General features: G+C 37.1%; 1 protein-coding gene across 11 annotated transcripts in view; it reads left to right on the forward strand.

Moving 5' to 3' along the window:
• ADGRL2 (adhesion G protein-coupled receptor L2) overlaps positions 1 to 18,779 on the forward strand; it is a 687,801-nt gene that overhangs the window by 455,779 nt on the left and 213,243 nt on the right. The window lies entirely within an intron of this gene.

Raw genomic sequence — 18,779 nt, forward strand, 5'->3', positions numbered from 1 at the left:
TTATTATAATAAAATTGGAGTATCATCTACTAAATGTATTGAGTCATCTGATAATTATAATGTAGTTTATACTTTTGCAAATAAATGGATGCTGTATTCAAATTCTATAATTATTCCAAAATGTTCACCAAATATACTACAGGATTTTTACAGGAAATACAAGGTTTTGCTTTCTCTGTTGGATTGCAGTTGAACATAGTATATCCAACATTTTGTTTTCTGGGGTAATTTATTTTAAAATACACAGATATAGAAATAAATGTGGTTTATATTCCACGAGCAGAAAAAGAAAGCATTATCTGTGATACAAATTGAGAGTTGGTAAGAGTCCTTTGGAATTGTTACTGTTACATAAAAACTGATTGTAATTTATGTTTGACCGGGGCTTTGCAGCATCTGTGAATTTTAAAATATTTATTTTCTAAAAGTATATATCATAACTTCTAGGCAAGCTAGCCACTATATGATTTTGGTTAAACATATAGTTTCATTGTCTTTATATTTTTATGACTTAAACAGGAAATATTTAGTTTTAGTCTTTATCATAACCTCTTTACAATTCAAATACTAAAAATTAATCTTATTATATGGGAAAGGTCAGTGTAAAATGATATTTCCTAGGAAGTTATTACTGTCTCCTATGATGCTCTTTTATTTTTCCAGTGGTTTAAGAGTATTCCCTATAAAAAGAAGGAATTTCTCATTGTAGAAAAAAAAGTCACTTTGACATCAAAGTGTTAGGTTAAGTGAAAAAGCAGGGTACAGAACTACATACATTACATGTTGTGTGCATGTGCGCTTATATAGACAGAGGAGAGAGACTTGGCAGTATATCTTGGGCTTAGAAAAAAGACACAAAAGGCCAGGCGCGGTGGCTCATGCCTGTAATCCCAGCACTTTGAGAGGCCGAGGCAGGCAGATCACGAGGTCAGGAGATCAAGACCATCCTGGCTAACACGGTGAAACCCCGTCTCTACTAAAAATACAAAAAATTAGCTAGGTGTGGTGGTGAGCCCCTGTAGTCCCAGCTGCTCAGGAGGCTGAGGCAGGAGAATGGCGTGAACCCAGGAGGTGGAGCTTGCAGTGGGCCGAGTGCCACTGCACTCCAGTCTGGGTGACAGAGCCAGACTCCGTCTAAAAAAAAAAAAAAAAAAAAAGGAAAAAAGACACAAAAGGTACACAAAAGAATGGGAATATAAGTAGTTTGTCTTAATTCTTCATTTTTTGCATTTCCTATAATAAATAGATATTGTTTTTATAACCAGAACAAAAACATTATTTGAATAATAAGCTATTCAAAAGAGCATATTTATTATTAGATAAATACGTACATATAAAATTGGGAAATACTTCTTTGTGCCAACTGGATAACCAATTAAAAAAAAAATCTTCAGCTGGGCATGGTAGCACACGCCTGTAATCCCAACACTTTGAGAGGCTGAGGCAGGAGAATCACCTAAGGTCAGGAGTTTGTAACCAGCCTGGTCAACATGGTGAAACCCCATCTCTACTAAAAATATAAAAATTAGCTAGCTGGGTATGGTGGTGAGTCCCTATAATCCCAGCTACTTGGGAGGCTGAGGCAAGACAATCGTTTGAACCCAGGAGGCGGAGGTTGCAGTGAGCCAAGACTGCACCATTGCACTCCGGTCTCGGTGACAGAGCAAGATTCAGTCTCAAAAAAAAAAAAAGGGCCAGGTGTGGTGGCTCACGCCTGTAATCCCAGCACTTTGGGAGGCTGAGGTGAGCAGATCACAAGTTCAGGAGTTCGAGACCAGCCTGGCCAATATGGTGAAACCCTTTCTCTACTAAAAATATAAAAAATAGGGGCTAGGCGCAGTGGCTTACGCCTGTGGGAGACGGAGGCGGGCGGATTACCTGAGGTCAGGAGTTCGAGATCAGCCTGGCTAACATGGTGAAACCCCGTCTCTACTAAATATACAAAATTAGCTGGGCGTGGTGGTGCACGCCTGTAATCCCAGCTACTCCAGAGGCTGAGGCAGGGGGATCGCTTGAACCCAGGAGGCGGATGTTGCAGTGAGCCAGGATCGTGCCACTGCACTCCAACCTGGGCGACAGTGAGACTCTGTATCAAAAAAACAACAACAAAACAAAACACAAAGAAACAAAAATTAGCCAGGCTTGGTGGCACACGCCTGTAGTCCCAGCTACTTAGGAGGCTGAGGCAGAAGAATCACGTGAACCCAAGAGGTGGAGATTGCAGTGAGCTGAGATTGCACCACTGCACTCCAGCTTGGGTGACAGAGCGAGACTCTGTCAAAAAAAAAAAAAAAAAAAGTAGATAACTAGGCAAATATAAAGAAATTTTATCAAAAAATTGCTTTTAACCTAAAATAATGTTAATAAATCGTTTATTATTAATAATAAATGGCACTATTAGAATATTTTTGATATTAAAAATTCTGCTCAAGAGCAATTTATTATAGGGCAGAACTTAGCATAAATGTATAAATTTTAGTTATATCTTACTGTCTTGACACTTTAGCTCTCTAGAACTAAGCCAAAAATTTTAGAAGAAATTTAGGAAAAAAGTCTCTAGCATGCATCTAATACTGTTCACATAAATGCTTCCCAAGTTTTTCTTTCCATCATATTAGTTCTCAGTTTACATAAAATTATAACAGAATTGTTTCTCTAATTATGTAGCTATAAACTAGAAGGATTACTATAAAACCTAGGAGAGACTAGGAGGAATGCATTGAGGAGTTAAAGAGTATTTTCAGCTATTCACCAACAGTAAGAATTGAGGGACCAAGATTAGCTGTATGATTTTCAGTAAGATACATCATATACATAGGTTTAAAATTCCTGAGTGGTTAAAGTAGAGGGTTATACTATAAGATTTTTAAAATAAAATTTTAAATTTCTTTCTAGACCAAGAATTTTACAATAAAATTACATATCCTTAAATTGAATATACATAGCATAAAATAACATTGAGAGACTTGGAGTCATTAGAATGAAAAAGACTGTAATGATTAAAGGGGTAAATTTCATTCATTTGTAAAATTCACATAAGTGAAAGTCTCATCCATATTTCGTTGAAAGTCTTTTCCAAATTGTATTGTGTAAATAAGGGATTATATATTGTGTATTTTGATAATATTCCTTCTATATTACTATTTTTAAATGTACCAAAAAATTTAACCTTAATTTTTTCACTTTACTCTGAATGAGATAACATTGTAAATGACCTATAAGATAAAATCTAGTATCAATCTTTCCTAAAGAGCGGGGAGCCAAATTCACACAGATTTGTATATGGAAATTTATATTTCTAATAGGTTTAGACTGCCAAATTACTAATTTGTTATACTGGGAAATCAAATGTTTAAATATATAATTTCCTTTTTTGCATGTACTCGGTAAACTCTTTAGTCCAACATATCATGACATTTTAGAAGAAAAATGAACAAAATTAACCTCTTGTCTATAACCAAAATCAGGGGCAATGTAACAAATTATTGAATAAATAAAATACTGCTCATTCAAACTATTTCTTTCTGATTTGTAAGTGTGCTAATTTAACCAAACAGACAAAGTTCTGAATACTATGTAAACTAAATTGAAATGCAAATATATATTTTATTGATATGTATTATTAAAGCTGAACTTCAAAACAGAATAAATCTTCAGCATTCCAATTTTTTCTAAGATATTGATGAGAAAATAAAATAAATATTTTAATGTAGTTAATCTGCCCTTCAACAAAATATATCCTCTCATTTCCAATTCTGGTTGTACTTAATGAATAAAGGTTGAATGCATATTTATGTTAATAGTCATGATATATACACGTCAATGAACAACAGTAAAACATACTTTATTTCTGAAAATGTTAATAATGATTTATTACCTTATTTCATTAAGGACAAAAGCTCCACATTATAGTCAGCTATAGCCAATAGTCATTTTGTCATTAATCTTAAAATTTCACAAGTTTCCAATTTATCAAGTGTCAATTTTTAGGTCAGACAATAATAATATAAAAGAATTGTTAATTGGCCAACAGGTTGATTACTTTTAAGATGTGAAAAAAGCAAAGATAAAAACAGTCCTCTCCTTTTCCTTCAATTAAAATTGCATGCAATTATTCTTGTAGATTATAGTTCTCTTTTGGGATTTCCGGTTTCATACAACTTTTTGGTTCATTTCACAGGAATAATATTCATTTTAATCAGCAAAAAAACAATTGATGAGCTTTTTTACAAGAGGGAGTTCACTCTGAGTGCTGATTACTGCCACTACATTATCCTGTTTTTATTTATTTATTTAATTTTTAATGGTCTTGCTTTTAAAGCAGTTAGTTGAATATGTTATCTGTTAGTAGCCATTGCCTTTGAAGACAGAATATCTTTCTTGATGAGTGGTTAGCCCATTTTGTTTTATTCTCCCAACTTTCCTAAACAATATCGTAAGTTGGCTTCTGAAATGATTTATTGCCATTTTATATCTTCAAATATACAAATCAAAATATTTTAAAAGTAAATAGATATTTTTGATGTGTTATTGAATTGTATTACATAGTTTAGAAGGTTAAACTACTTCCTTTACAATTCTAAAAAATATTTAGTAGCTAAAAAAATAAAATTTCTAATACATATGTAAGAAATACAGGGCTGGGCATGGTTGCTCATGCCTGTAATCCCAGCACTTTGGGAGGCCGAAGCGGGCAGATCACCTGAGGTCGGAAGTTCAAGACCAGCCTGACCAACATAAAGAAACCCTGTTTCTACTAAAAATACAAAATCAGCCGGGCATGGTGGCACATGCCTGTAATCCCAGCTACTCAGGAGGCTGAGGCACGAGAATCACTTGAACCCAGGAGGCGGAGATTGTGGTGAGCGGAGATTGCACCATTGCACTCCAGCCTGGGCAACAAGAGCAAAACTCCGTCTCAAAAAAAAAAAAAAAGGAAAAAAAAAAAAAAAGAAAAAGAAATGCAGATCGTGAATACCCATGTACCACCAACCAGTTTAAGAAAAACACATTATAATGCCCTTTCAAGCTTTCAGTGTACCCTTCTACGGTTCTTTAACCCTTCTTTAATCCGAGCTAAACATTATCCTGAATTTTCTCTATCCCTTGCTTTTCTTTATAATTTTACCTCATATATTTCATCCTGAAATATATAATTGTTGTTTATGTTTTGCAACAATATGTAAATAGAAAGTTGTATTTATCTATGACTCTTCTACTCAACATTAAGATCTTGAGTTTCAACACTTTGAAGCACATGGCTATAATTCATTAGTTTACACTTGTATAGTATTCTATTGTAAGATTTATTAGTCTTCCTTTAACATTAATGCATATTTGGGTTGCCTTCAGTTTTTTGTTTTTTTGTTTTTATTATTATTATTACACACAGTGCTTCTATGACCAGTCTTGCAAATTTATAAGTAGATATGTGCAAAAATTTATACAGGGCAGTGGTTCTTAACCTGGGATGATTTTGCTCCCTAGAGAATACTTGGCAATATCTGCAAACATTTTTACTTGTCGTAACTAGAAAGTGCTACTAAATGTCCCCAGTTAATGATAAACATCCTATAAGGCACAGGATAGCCCCACAAACAAAGAATTATCTGGCCTAAAATGTTAATAGGATGAGGTTAAAAGATCAGTCTCTAGATGCCTACTTAAAAATGAAATTGCGGCTGGACATGGTGGCTCACACTTGTAATCTTAGCACTTTGGGAGGTCGAGGCAGGAGGATCACTTAAATCCAGGAGTTCGAGATCAGCCTGGGCAACATGGTGAAACCCCATCTCTATGAAAAATACAAAAATATGCCAGGCATGGTGGCAAGTGCCTGTAGTCCCAGCTACCCGGGAGGCTGAGGTGAGAGGGACAATGGAGGCTGCAGTGAGCTGTGATCATACCACTTAACTTTAGCCTGGAGGAAGTGAGATCCTGTCTCAAAAAAAAAAAAAAGAAAAAAAAAAAAGAAATTGCTGGGTCATGGAGTATGAAAAATTTCAAATTTATTAGATAATTCACAACTATTGTACACAGTAACAATGTTACACTCCTACTAGGAGTATAAAGATAAATATTATGATTTCTCTATATCCTAGCTAGCACTTAATATTGTAAGATACTTAAATGTATTTATTTTTATTATTTTTAGAGACAAGACCTCACTTTGTTGCCCAGGCTGGAGTGCAGTGGTGCCATCTTGGCTCACTACAAACTTGAACTCCTGGGCTCAAGTGATCCTCCTACCTCAGCTTCCTGAGTAACTACGACTACAGACTCGTACCACCACAACCAGTTAATTCTTAAAATTTTTTGTGTAGACAGGGGTCTCACTATGTTGCCAGGGCTGGTCTTGAACTCCTGGCCTCAAGCGGTACTCCCAGCTATCATCTGCTGAGGTTATAGGTGTGAGCTACTGCACCTAGCTAGCCAGAGTTTTTATAAATTTGTCAATGTGAAATAAATACTCCTCAAAGTTTTAATTTTCAATATTTGATTACCAATGAGATTGAGCACCTTTTCTCATTTTGCTGACAATCAGCATTTCCTGTTCTATGAAGTACCTCTTTTTTTTTTTTTGAGAGAAGGTTCACTGTATTGCCCAGGCTGGAGTGCAGTGGTACAATCACAGCTCACTTCAGCCTCAATTTCCAGGGCTCAAGCAATCCTCTGGCCTCAGCCTCCCAACTGGCTGGGATTACAGGTGCATACCACATGCCCAGCTAATTTTTAAATTTTTTATGTAGACAGGGTCTCACTATGTTGTTCAGGCTGGTCTCAAACTCCCTAGCTCAAGCAATCCTCCTGCCTTAGCCTCTCAAAGTGCTGGTATTACAGGTGTGAGCCATAGCACCCAGCCTTCTTTTTAACCAATTTTAAAAATTAGGCCAGGCGATGTAGCTCATGCCTGTAATCCCAGCATTTTGGGAGGTCGAGGCAGGCAGATCACTTGAGGTCAGGAGTTTGAGACTAGCCTGGCCAACACGGTGAAACCCCGTCTCTACTAAAAAAAAATACAAAAATTAGCCGGGCGCACTGGTGTGCACCTGTAATCCCAACTACTTGGGAGGCTGAAGCAGGAGAATTACTTGAACCCAGGAGGCGGAGGTTGCTGAGTAGAGATCGCGGCACTGCACTGCAGTCTGGGCGACAGAGTGAGACTCCATCTCAAAAAAAAAATTGAATTATCTTCTACTAACTGATTTGTAGATAATATCTGTACTAATCTACTGTTTTTTATTTTTGTAACAAATGTCTCTTTCTAATTTGTGCATTGTTTTTTCATTTCTTTAAGGTGCCCTTTTATGAACAGAGTTCTTAATCTTAAAGCAGCTAAACTTCATAAACTTTTCTTTTTTGCTTGTATCCTGCATTTCCCACTCAAGAAAGCATTCCCTTATCTGTGTTTTAGCATTTTGCATTTCTACATTTAAGTATTTAACCTATTTGACGTTGGTTTTTGTGTATGCTGTGAGTAGTAATACATTTTAAAAACAAGAAACTATAGTGTTAGTGTCATGTGTTGAATAGTTTATATTTCCCTACTAATCTTCAAAGCTAGACTTTTTATGAATCAAGTTTCCAAATATATAACCTAATTTGTGGCTCCTTGTTTTATTCTACTGGTCAATTTGTCTATCCCTTTACCAATATTATACTGCCTAAATTATTATAATTATATAATAATTTAAAATATCTAATAAGTTCTCTCTTGCTCTTCTTCAGCAATACCTTGGCTATCATGGCCTTTTTCTCTTCTATACAAATCTTGGAAGAAGCTTGTCACTGCTTCTTTCTACACTCACAAAACTTGATTGAAATTTGTTAGTATGTACAGATCAATCTGAAGGGAAATTACATCTTTCTTACCACTTTTAGTGTTTCAATACAAGCATATGGTCAACTCTTCCATTTATTTAGATTTTCAGTAATGTTTTTATTTTCCTTTTCTTTTTTTTTTCTTTTTTTGAGATGGAGTCTTGCTCTGTCATCCAGGCTGGAGTGCAATGGCACGATCTTAGCTCACTGCAACCTCCACCCCTCAGGTTCAAGTGATTCTCCTGCCTCAGCCTCCCAAGTAGCTGGGATTACAGGCAGCAAGCTAATTTTTCATATTTTTAGTAGAGGCGGGGTTTCACACCATGTTGGCCAGGCTGGTCTTGAACTCCTGACCTCAGGTGGTCCACCTGCCTCAGCCTCCCAAAGTGCTGGGATTACAGGCATGAGCCACTGCACCCAGCTTTTTTTTTTTTTTTTTTTTTTTTTTTGAGACCGAGTCTCACTCTATAGCCCAGGCTGGAGTACAGTGGCAGAATTTCTGCTCACTGCAACCTCTGCCTCCCGGGTTTAAGCGATTCTCCTGCCTCAGCCTCCCAAGTAGCTGGGAGTACAGGCACCTGCCACCCTACCTGGCTAATTTTTGTATTTTTCATAGAGATGGGGCTTCAGCATATTGGCCAGGATGGTCTTGAACTCCTAGCCCTGTAATTCGCCCGCCTTGGCCTCTCAAAGTGCTGGGATTACAGGCGTGAGCCACCACGCCTGGCTGCCTTTTTTCAATGTTTTTCTTTTCCTTTTAAGACAGAGTTTTGCTCTTGTTGCCCAGGCTGGAGTCCAATGGCGCGATCTTGGCTCACTGCAACCTCCACCTCCTGGGTTCAAGCCATTCTCCTGCCTCAGGCTCCCGAGTAGCTGGGATTACAGGCATGCACCATCACGCCCAGCTAATTTTGTATTTTTGGTAGAGATGGGGTTTCTCCATGTTGGTCAGGCTGGTCTCAAACTCCTGACCTCAGGTGATCCACCCGCCTCGGCCTCCCAAAAGTGCTGGGATTACAGGCGTGAGCCACAGCGCCCGGCCAATAATGTTTTTCAAAAAGGATTTATTCCCCCATAAATTTGTTAGATTTACTCTTAAATACCTTTTTTACAAAATATTTTTAAATTATATATGTGTAGTTATTTATTTTTAAAAAGAATTTGTTTCCATACATAGAAGTACAATTAATTTTTATATTTTTATTTCTATTTGGGAAACCTAAACTTTCTTATTAATTCTCAAAACTTACGTGTATTTTCTCTTGGATTTCCTGTATTAACAATTTATTTCATTCTAGCCTTTATACTTTCATTTTTTTCTTACATACTCTAGTAACTAGACCTCTAGTCCAGTATTGTATAGAGATGATGATTATGGAAAACTTTGTGTTTTCCTGATTTTTAAAAGAAAGTAGTTTGAACAGTTCACCATTAAGTTGTTGGTTTTTTGTAGATCTCCTTTATCAAGTTAAGGGATTCTTCTTTTATTTGTAGTTTGCTTTGAGTTTTTATCTTTAATAAATATTGAATTTTATCAAATGTTTTCCCTACATTGATTTAGAGGATAATATAATTTTTCTCACAAAGAATTGCTGAGCATCCTCTTTCACCTTAAAGACATTTACTGAATGGGGTGAATCTGAATTTCAGTTTTCATGTCCCTGCTAGCATAGGGGGAAAGTCACAAAGCCCAGGGCTTAGTGCTGGCATGCAAAATAGATATATCCTTATCATTAACCTTATCTACAAATAAATGCATCGCATAGAGGAGTGCAAGGAAAATTGCAAGTCTTACTTCAATGTATAACTAAAGAGGAAAAAAAATCTCTCTTGAAAATTCATGATCATAAACCAACCTTACTGTGTTTTCAGCAAGAATTCACACACTCTTAATGGTCTAAAGAGTCCAAGATAAGAATCTAGTTACACTGGTCCTCATTTGTGCCTTTTGAATCAAAAGAAAATCCCCCTATGAGAGTGCAACCTTATCCTATCCCTCTAAGAATTCTCACAGATAAAATTCCAGGAGTATACGCCCACAGTTAGAAATCACAAACACACTGGAAAAAAAAGGGAGGGTAAGTGAGCAAGAATTAGATGAAAAAAGATTAAATGCAGAATCAGACTCATAAAAGACTTCAAACTTTGGAATTCTTTCATCCTTTTTTTGCCCTTTTGCTTTTTTATTCTCAATCTCTTTTGCATGTAAAACTATATTTTAAAACATTTTATCCTTGGCTGGGTGCGGTGGCTTATGCCTGTAATCCCAGCACTTTGGGAGGGGGAGACAGGCAGATCACCTGTGGTCAGGAGTTTGAGACCAGCTTGGCCAGCATGGCGAAACCCCGTCTCTACTAAAAATACAAACATTAGCTGGGCATAGTGGCGGGCACCTGTAATCCCAGCTACTTGAGAGGCTGAGGCAGGAGAATCGCTTGAACCCGGGAAGCGGAAGTTGCAGTGAGCCGAGATCGTGCCACTGCACTCCAGCCTGGGCTACAGAGCCAGACTCTATCTCAAAAAAAAAAAAAAAAAAATTATCCTTTAGTGTTTAATTTCATTGTTAATAACATGTAAGCACTTCTTTGTGATAAAGTTAGAAATTAATAATACAGAAAAGTTTAACCTGTAAACTAAACCTAGTTACTGACATGGATTCTAATTATGACATTTATGTACCAAGCTATACAAGCTTTGGTGAAAAAAAAATGTACAGGCTGGGCACCACGGCTCACACCTGTAATCCCAGCACTGTGGGAGGCCGAGGCGGGTAGATCACCTGAGGTCAGGAGTTCGAGACCAGCCTGGCCAACATGGTGAAACCTTGTCTCTCCTAAAAATACAAAAATTAGCTGGATGTGGTGGCAGGCACCTGTAATCCCAGCTACTCGAGAGGCTGAGGCAGGAGAATCACTTGAACCCGGGAGGCAGAGGTTGCAGTGAGCCGAGACTGCGCTACTGCATTCTAGCCCAGGAGACAGAGCGAGACTCCATCCCAAAAAAAGAGTAGAAATAAGAATGAGTCCTTTTTTGTTTAGCTTAAACAAACAAGTAAATATTGTATTAAAGATAGTAAAACATATGTTTATAGCTATTACATAGCTATAAACTTTAATATTTTTGTTTTCAAACTTTAATATTTTTATAGACAGAAACCATTTAGCACAATACTAAAAATGATACATATTATAAATTATTAGAATATGTTTTATTTGTGTAGCACATTTTTGCCCAAATCTCCAGGACTTTCAACTTTATATTTCTGTTTTGAAATTTTTTTAGAAAGGAGTTGTGTTCTCACTTGATCCCAAGCCCCTGATGGTGCTTATAGTGGGCAGTGGGCCAAAGCTGAGCTAATTGTAGTCTGTCCCTATAATTTTTTAAACTGGAATTGTGGAACAGACTTTTAGGCAAAGGGAGAATATATCAATTGATGTATCCCAAGCAAGGCTGATTCTGAGCCTTAATTCCAGTTATTAAACTTCCTAGGGATCCATGAACCAGTAAATTGCCTGTGCTGAAACTTATTTGAGTTGAGTTTCTGTAACTTGCAGCCAAAATGGTCCTGATAACTACACTTACATAAAGAAAATTAAATTCTGAGATGGTTTCCTACATGCTGATAATCATAGAAGACAATGAATTAATAATACCTTTAATACCTTTTCCACCAAATAGAAGGGAATTGGGAAGAGTTTCTGGGTGAGTTAATTTGAAGCCTTGCCTTGACTAGAGTGTACCACCTTCCTCTGTTTTATTCCAGAGGCAAGTCGAAGGAAAAAGGATTGCCCACAGTTACTTCTTATGGTAAGGTTAGGACCACCAGTATTTTGACAATTAAGGTTCTGTATCTAGAGGGATTCCATTAGGAAGCCCTTCCTGGATATAATATTATTTTCCAATTACTTTCTTCTTGAGCGTTCACATGACCTCAAAAGCAATGAAAGGGACTGACATTTAGGGGTAGAACATAATAATTATTGAGCATTTTACTCTATGTTAGGTACCTGGTTGGTCGATTTAAATTTATTTTCTAGTTAAGTGGTATGGGCTGAATTGTGTCGTCTCAAATTCATGTGTTGCTGTCCTAACACCTAGTACCTCAGAGTGTGACTGTATTTGGAGACAAGGTCTTTAAAGAGTACACTAAGATTGAATGAGGTCATCGGGGTGGCCCCAATGCCATATGACTGGTGGCCTTATAGGAAGGGAAGATTAGGACACGGACACACACAAAGGAACAACATGTGAACACATGGGAGATGATCGCCATCTACAAGCCAAGGAGAGAGGCCTCAGAAGAAACAATCCTGCTGACACCTTACTCTTGGACTTCTAGCTTCCAAAACTGGGGGAAAATTAGTTTCTGTTGTTTAAGTCGCCCTGTCTGTGGTATTTGTTATGGCAGCCCTAGCAAATGACTACATTAAGTTATATGTATTCACCTTACTCAGTACTAGTCAGTCATGAAGGGCTGGCCAATCTAACCCTAAAATACATTTCAAATGTCTGCTCTCCTCTCTCTTCCTTCCATTACTATCTTAGTTTAGGCTTTATTTGTTTTACTTGAAATATTCCAATAACCTTCAGTTTCTCTTCATTCTAATAAAACCATTCATACTCATGATGGCAAACACATTAGATTGTGAGGTTGCTGAGAGCAACATGTGCTTTGCACTGTCTACTTAATCCAGATGGAGTCCATGGTTCCCAAACTTGACTGTGCATCAGAATTTTGGGTGGCATTTTTTAAGTTACAGATTTTCAGGCTCCTGACCATGTCTATTGAATCAGAATCTGTAGGCATGTGGGCTAAAATATTGGTATTTTTAATATGTTCACAAGTTGATCTTATGAGCAGTATACATCGTTGCTTATTTTTGCCCATCTTTTTATTAATAATCATGTGACAGTGTCTTCCACCATTGTTAGCTCAGTGTTTAGTACTATGTCATTCATTATCACAGTAGTTTTTGGAATAATAAATTTAATTACACTTTTTTGAAGTAAAACAGTGATTCTTTTACATTGATTACATATTTCAATAATTTTCTTGTTGAAGTTATGTTTATATATAACATATATATATGTTATGTTATATGTTATATCCCATCTTGTCAGAAGCTATAAAAATGTCACAAGTATACTTTTATATGTATAATAGTAACAAAAGATGACACCTACCCAATTTGTTTACTATAAAACTGATAAGTAGGTTTCAGCACTAGGATGTCCCCTTCAATATGTCCCTAATTAAGTGAATAAAATTTGGAAAAAGCTGGCAGAAACATTTATTTCTCTTGTAGTTGTTTTGTGGCCTAACACTATTCATATCGATATAAATTGTGTGGTAAGACCACAAGTAAAAGACAACATACAGTTCACCTTGGAAAAGGAGGAGGTAATGTCTGAAATTTTATCTGGTCCCCCATATTATAAGCTCAATTTATGCTTATCATTTAATAAAAATTGAAAACTTAATACTCTGAAAAAAAAACACACTGCTTTTCTTACTTTAAATATAAAATGTCTCCAATGCTGAAGCAGCGGGTCTTTGTGTCTACTCATAGAGAGGAAAGCATGATCCTAGAAAAGGGTAACAAATAATGGCATTCGGTCCTCCCAGATAAACTCTGCTGTAGTCTGTGCTGTACTTGAAATCAAAGGCAGATCTTCTGACTATACTTAGACAACAAAAAGAAAAGTTGCTGAATATATCTGCCAAAGTGATTATTTCAATACATATTTGTTTTGAACCTATTATACCAAACATTATATAATCTGGGGAGATCAAAAGAGACATGATTCTTGCATTTGTGGAGCATTCAGCTTGGGTAATAGAGGTCCTGGTTTAAAAAAAAAAAAAAAAGTGTGATGTTTACAGGAGCCTAAAATGGAGGCAAAGAGACAGAGTGTGTGAGAAGAAGTCATGCCCAAATGACACTTCCTGGAGGGACCAGTTACTCTGTGCTCAGATGTCAACAGCCAGGAGCACTCTGGGACTTGAGCAAGCAAATAAGCATGACATTTCAGTTCAGTCTTTACTGTCCATGCATACCTTGTAAAAAGGTTGGTACAGAAACTAAATATTATCCTTGGGCTACTTCTCCTTTTCTAAATGTATACATTCATGTATTCATTCAACAAGTATTATATTAAAAGTTTTTCTAAAATAAGGCCTTTTTAGCTGATTGAAAGGCCTCAGTATGAAGTGATATACGAACTAACTACCTAGTCCTTGGGTTACTTTTTTCTGGTACCTATTTTAAACATTCTGGATCTTTCAGATTATAATCTTGACCACAAGTAATGATTTACTATCAGTGCTTCCAAATTTGGGTTAGCATCATCAGGAATGGGAAGCTCACTACTTCTTCTATCATGATATTACCTCTGAAAAATTCTGACTATAAGTGGTTGTGTTTTTAAATGGAACTGTGCCTCAGAGTACCTTAAAGCATTTTTTTTTTTTTTTGAGATGGAGTCTCACTCTGTCGCCTAGGCTGGAGTGCAGTGGCACAATCTCTGCTCACTGCAACCTCTGCCTCTCGAGTTCAAGCAATTCTCCTGCCTCTGCCTCCCAAGTAGCTGGGACTACAGGCACGCACCACCACACCCAGCTAATTTTTGTATTTTCAGTAGAGATGGGGTTTCACCATGTTGGCCAGGATGGTCTCAATCTCTTGACCTCGTGATCTGCCCGCCTCGGCCTCCCAAAGTGCTGGGATTATAGGCATGAGCCACCACGCCTGGCCAGTAAGATTTTTATAAAATTAAAATAGGCATAGTAAAGAGGATTTGGGAAATTGAAGAAACAGATAAAGAAAACATTGCCATATTCCCAGTACCCAAGTACAACCACTCTTAACATTGTAATAAATATTTCTAGTGTTTTTACTATGTGTTGCTTTGATTCTTTGTTAGTTTATATAATTTGGTCATCACATGTAAACATGCACATACATATACATACACAATACAACTTAGATCCCTGCTGGTGGGAGAAATCTTCTATAGAGGATAAGTTAACAGGAACTGGAGAAAGATTGACCTGGGCTCCAATTCAAGCATTATCACTTGCTGGTTTTTATTGCCTTAGACATATTTCTTATGTCTCTCAGACTCATTTTTCTTATCTATAACATTAAAATAACCTAGAACCTACTTCTTAGGCTTATTGCTAGCAGTAATTAACGTAATTAACACTGTCGCTAGCACAGTGTCTAGTAAATAATAAATTCTTAATGATGATTAAATTATTATGCATACTACTCTGATATAATCATCAAATATAAAAATTTTCAGGCTAAAAATTCCCAATTCTTTCAGCTTTCTCTCACATGAAATAGTTTTAAGTCCTCTTACCATTCAGGCTGCTGACTCCTAGGAGTTCTATATTCTTCCCATCTATATCTTCTGTAAAATAATACTTCCAGAACTGAGCATGGTAATCTAAACAATTTGAAATAGAGTTAGATTATATTCTCCATTATTCTATACACATCCTAAATTTATTAATGCAGCCTAAATCACTTCTTCTTTTGTTTGTTGTTTGCTTTTGTAATTGTATTATACCACTAATTCACTGCCAAGTAAAGTTCCTCATTTTTTCCCCCAGGAGTACTGTTGCTAAGTCACATATCCCTTAAACTAAATTTAGGCAGTTAGTGTTTTGGTCCCAAGGCAAGACCCTACAATTATTCCAACCAAAAGATGTATTTTTAGAGTTTGTTCATCTTTTTGTTGTTAAAACATTTGGCTGGGCATGGTGGCTCACACCTGTAATCCCAGCACTTTGGGAGGCAGAGGCAGGTGAATTGCCTGACTCCAGGAGTTTGAGACCAGCCTGGGCAACATGGTGAAAACCCATCTCTACAAAAAATTAGCCCGGTGTCATGGCACATGCCTGTAGTCCCAGCTACCCAGGAGGCTGAGGTGAGAGGATCACCTGAGCTCAGGAGGCATAGGCTGCACTGACCTGTGATCATGCCATTGCACTCCAGCCTGGGTGACAAGTGAGACTCTGTTTCAACAAAATTTTAAAATGGATATTTGGACCTTGATTTTATCATCTAATGTATTTTCTCACCTTCCCTAGCTCATGTAACCTATGACCTATTTTTAATAGGCATGCCTTCTCATAGCTTTATCTCAGTCACTGATATGTTCACATTAGACAAGGCCAAAGACAAAGGTCTGTGGTATACCCCTTGAAAAGCCTTCCTCCAGACTGACACAGATTCATTAACATTGCCATTGGGTACAATCATCAATCAGTTATGAACACACATAAAAATACTATGCCTAGGTCAGGCGCGGTGGCTCACGCCTGTAATCCCAGCACTTTGGGAGGCTGGGTCGGGCGTATTACGAGGTCAAGAGATGGAGACCATTTTGGCTAACACCGTGAAACCCTGTCTCTACTAAAAATACAAAAAAAATTAGCCAAGCATGGTGGCGGGCACTTGTAGTCCCAGCTCCTCGGGGAGGCTGAGCAGGAGAATGGCGTGAACTCGGGAGGCGGAGCTTGCAGTGAGCGGAGATCACGCCACTGCACTCCAGCCTGGGCGACAGAGCGAGACTCCGTCTCAAAAAAAAAAAAAAAAAATTACTATCCCTAAACCTGTATTTCTCCATCTTGTTCACAAGGACATAAATAAAGTCCTTATTAAATGCTTTGCTAGAATCTAGAGATCTGTATATCTATTGTTCTGATATACTAGCTTTACTCTGACAGAAAAGAACATCTAAGAGTAGGCTGAACAGCTTACTCTTTTGGAATTTAGACTTTTTCCTAATAACCACCTTAAAAAATGTTGATGACATCGTCTTTTATAATAAATATTATATAAGCTATTCCGCACCGCTCACTGCCACCAAGCAACATCCATTTCATGGATCGAAAGTTTGCAGACTGACATTTTTTGAACATACGGCATTCCTCTCCAATGTCTCCCTCCTCCCCATTTTTCAAAGGTAATCATTTGAATATTTCATAATCTCATTTAGAAGTTCTCCTTGTAATAATTCATAGCGGTCAAGAGACGTTTTGGCAGCTATACCAGTCAAGTTTCCCCAGTAGGGCATACAGGTGAAGTTTTCATACTTTGTACCTAAGTTCTTGCTGCAAATCTTAGCTCTACACGTTTGTAGTTGTATGATCTTGGGCAACTTATTCAACCAAATAGTAACATATGTTTTATAGGGCTGCTATGATGATTAAGTGAACAAGTGCATATAAATACTTAGTATATACTTTATATCCTTATTTATCCTCAGTAAATGCTATCTACATTATAATCCCTTTATTTTGTCTTTCAATTTTTAGTTAATGTCCAATGGTCTTGACTTCATTTGTCACATATTTATTGAGTAGTACTTGGTACATACAAGGCCCTAGAGATAAAGTAGTGAACAAATCAAAGTACCTGCATTCATGGAGCTTACATTCCACTACAGGAAAAAAAACAAAAACGAAGACACTGAAGTATGTAAAATAATGGCAATCAGTGATGGGAAGAATGAAATGTCTAAGGGGTTCGAGAAGTCTGAGAGAACTCTTAGAAAGGGTGGTCAGGGTCCTCTCTGAAGTGGTGACATATGACCAGAGATATGACTGAACCAACAGGAAGAAACATAAAAGAATAAAGATGCTTTGCTTTCTCTTTTTCATGAATGAATTTTATGTCTTCAACTTAAAAAAAATGAGTCCATTCCTTTATTGATCGCCCTCCTCATTTCATACTAAGGAAAAGCATTTTCGGTTCTCTTTAGCATATTTCACAAGCCATAGCTCATTCTGTGCTTTAGTCTTGCTAAATTTTTATAGGTCTATTCTACCTTCATATATTTATGCTTGATTATGTTTCCCCTTTTACTATCTTTTGCATATGCTGTTTTAAATTCAGAGCCTGTCAGTAAGTCCCTGTGCAGCACACTGGTTTCTTTAGTTTCCTCCCCATTTTCTTGCTCATTAGAATCATTTGTGTTTGCATAGGCAGAACACAGCTTAAATCAAACTCTAAGAGCATATGGTTGCTTTTCCCCAAGGTTCCAATCATTTCCATTTTACCTACCGGTTTCTGTCAGAATGGGTCCTGAGCAGGAGTTCCCCTTAATGCTTACTCTGCCTTCTGGGAAATGAAATTATCAGCAAGGCCGGTCAAGAAATTGTCACTATTTTGCTTTCTGAGGTATGAAAGTTTCTGCAGATACTTGGAGACTTAAATCCCTAACACTAAGATATGTTGCAGCTCTGCCAACACATCTGAGGTCTGCACTAGAAAAGCATCGTATCTTTCCTTCTGACCAGAAAGTCTGTAGTGCAGTCACATAGCGCTATCACTTCTGTGTTTCTCATTTTATGTTCGTCTAGATTTTTATCCAGTGTTCCTCCATCTACAGGTTCTTGGATTTACATGTACATTCATAACTTCTAACCAGCAAGGACTATATACCTGCCTTCCAATCAGCTTGATTGAATTATAATTAAAATAAATTGGATTAAAAATTAATTGTTTATATGACCAAATTCTATGCCCAGAAAACCAGAACATTCCCCTTCAGTTTAATATTAACAAGCAGCATGAAATAGTAGAAAGCTTTGGGATGGAAGGTGGATTCTATTCCTGACCAAGCCATGTACTAGCTGGGAGACTTCCTACAAGCTGCAGATTCATCATGTATCAGAACTGAAGGACCCTTAATGGTGAAAAATCTGGACCCTCTACTCATCTACTGATGAGCAAATTGTGGCCTAAAAGGTTAAATGACTTGCTTAAAGTGTCACAGCTAGTTGGCAATAGTATCATGACTGCAAGATAGGGTTCTTTTCCTTAGGTCAGTAAGTTTCATCCCAATATGTTATCTTCCGTTAATAGCGCAAAGATTTACTTCTATGAAATGGAATAATAATATCTGCCCTTTCTACCTTATAGGGTTGTTGTGAGATAATACGT

Source organism: Homo sapiens, chromosome 1 (assembly GCF_000001405.40).
Source record: "Homo sapiens chromosome 1, GRCh38.p14 Primary Assembly".
NCBI lineage: Eukaryota > Metazoa > Chordata > Mammalia > Primates > Hominidae > Homo > Homo sapiens.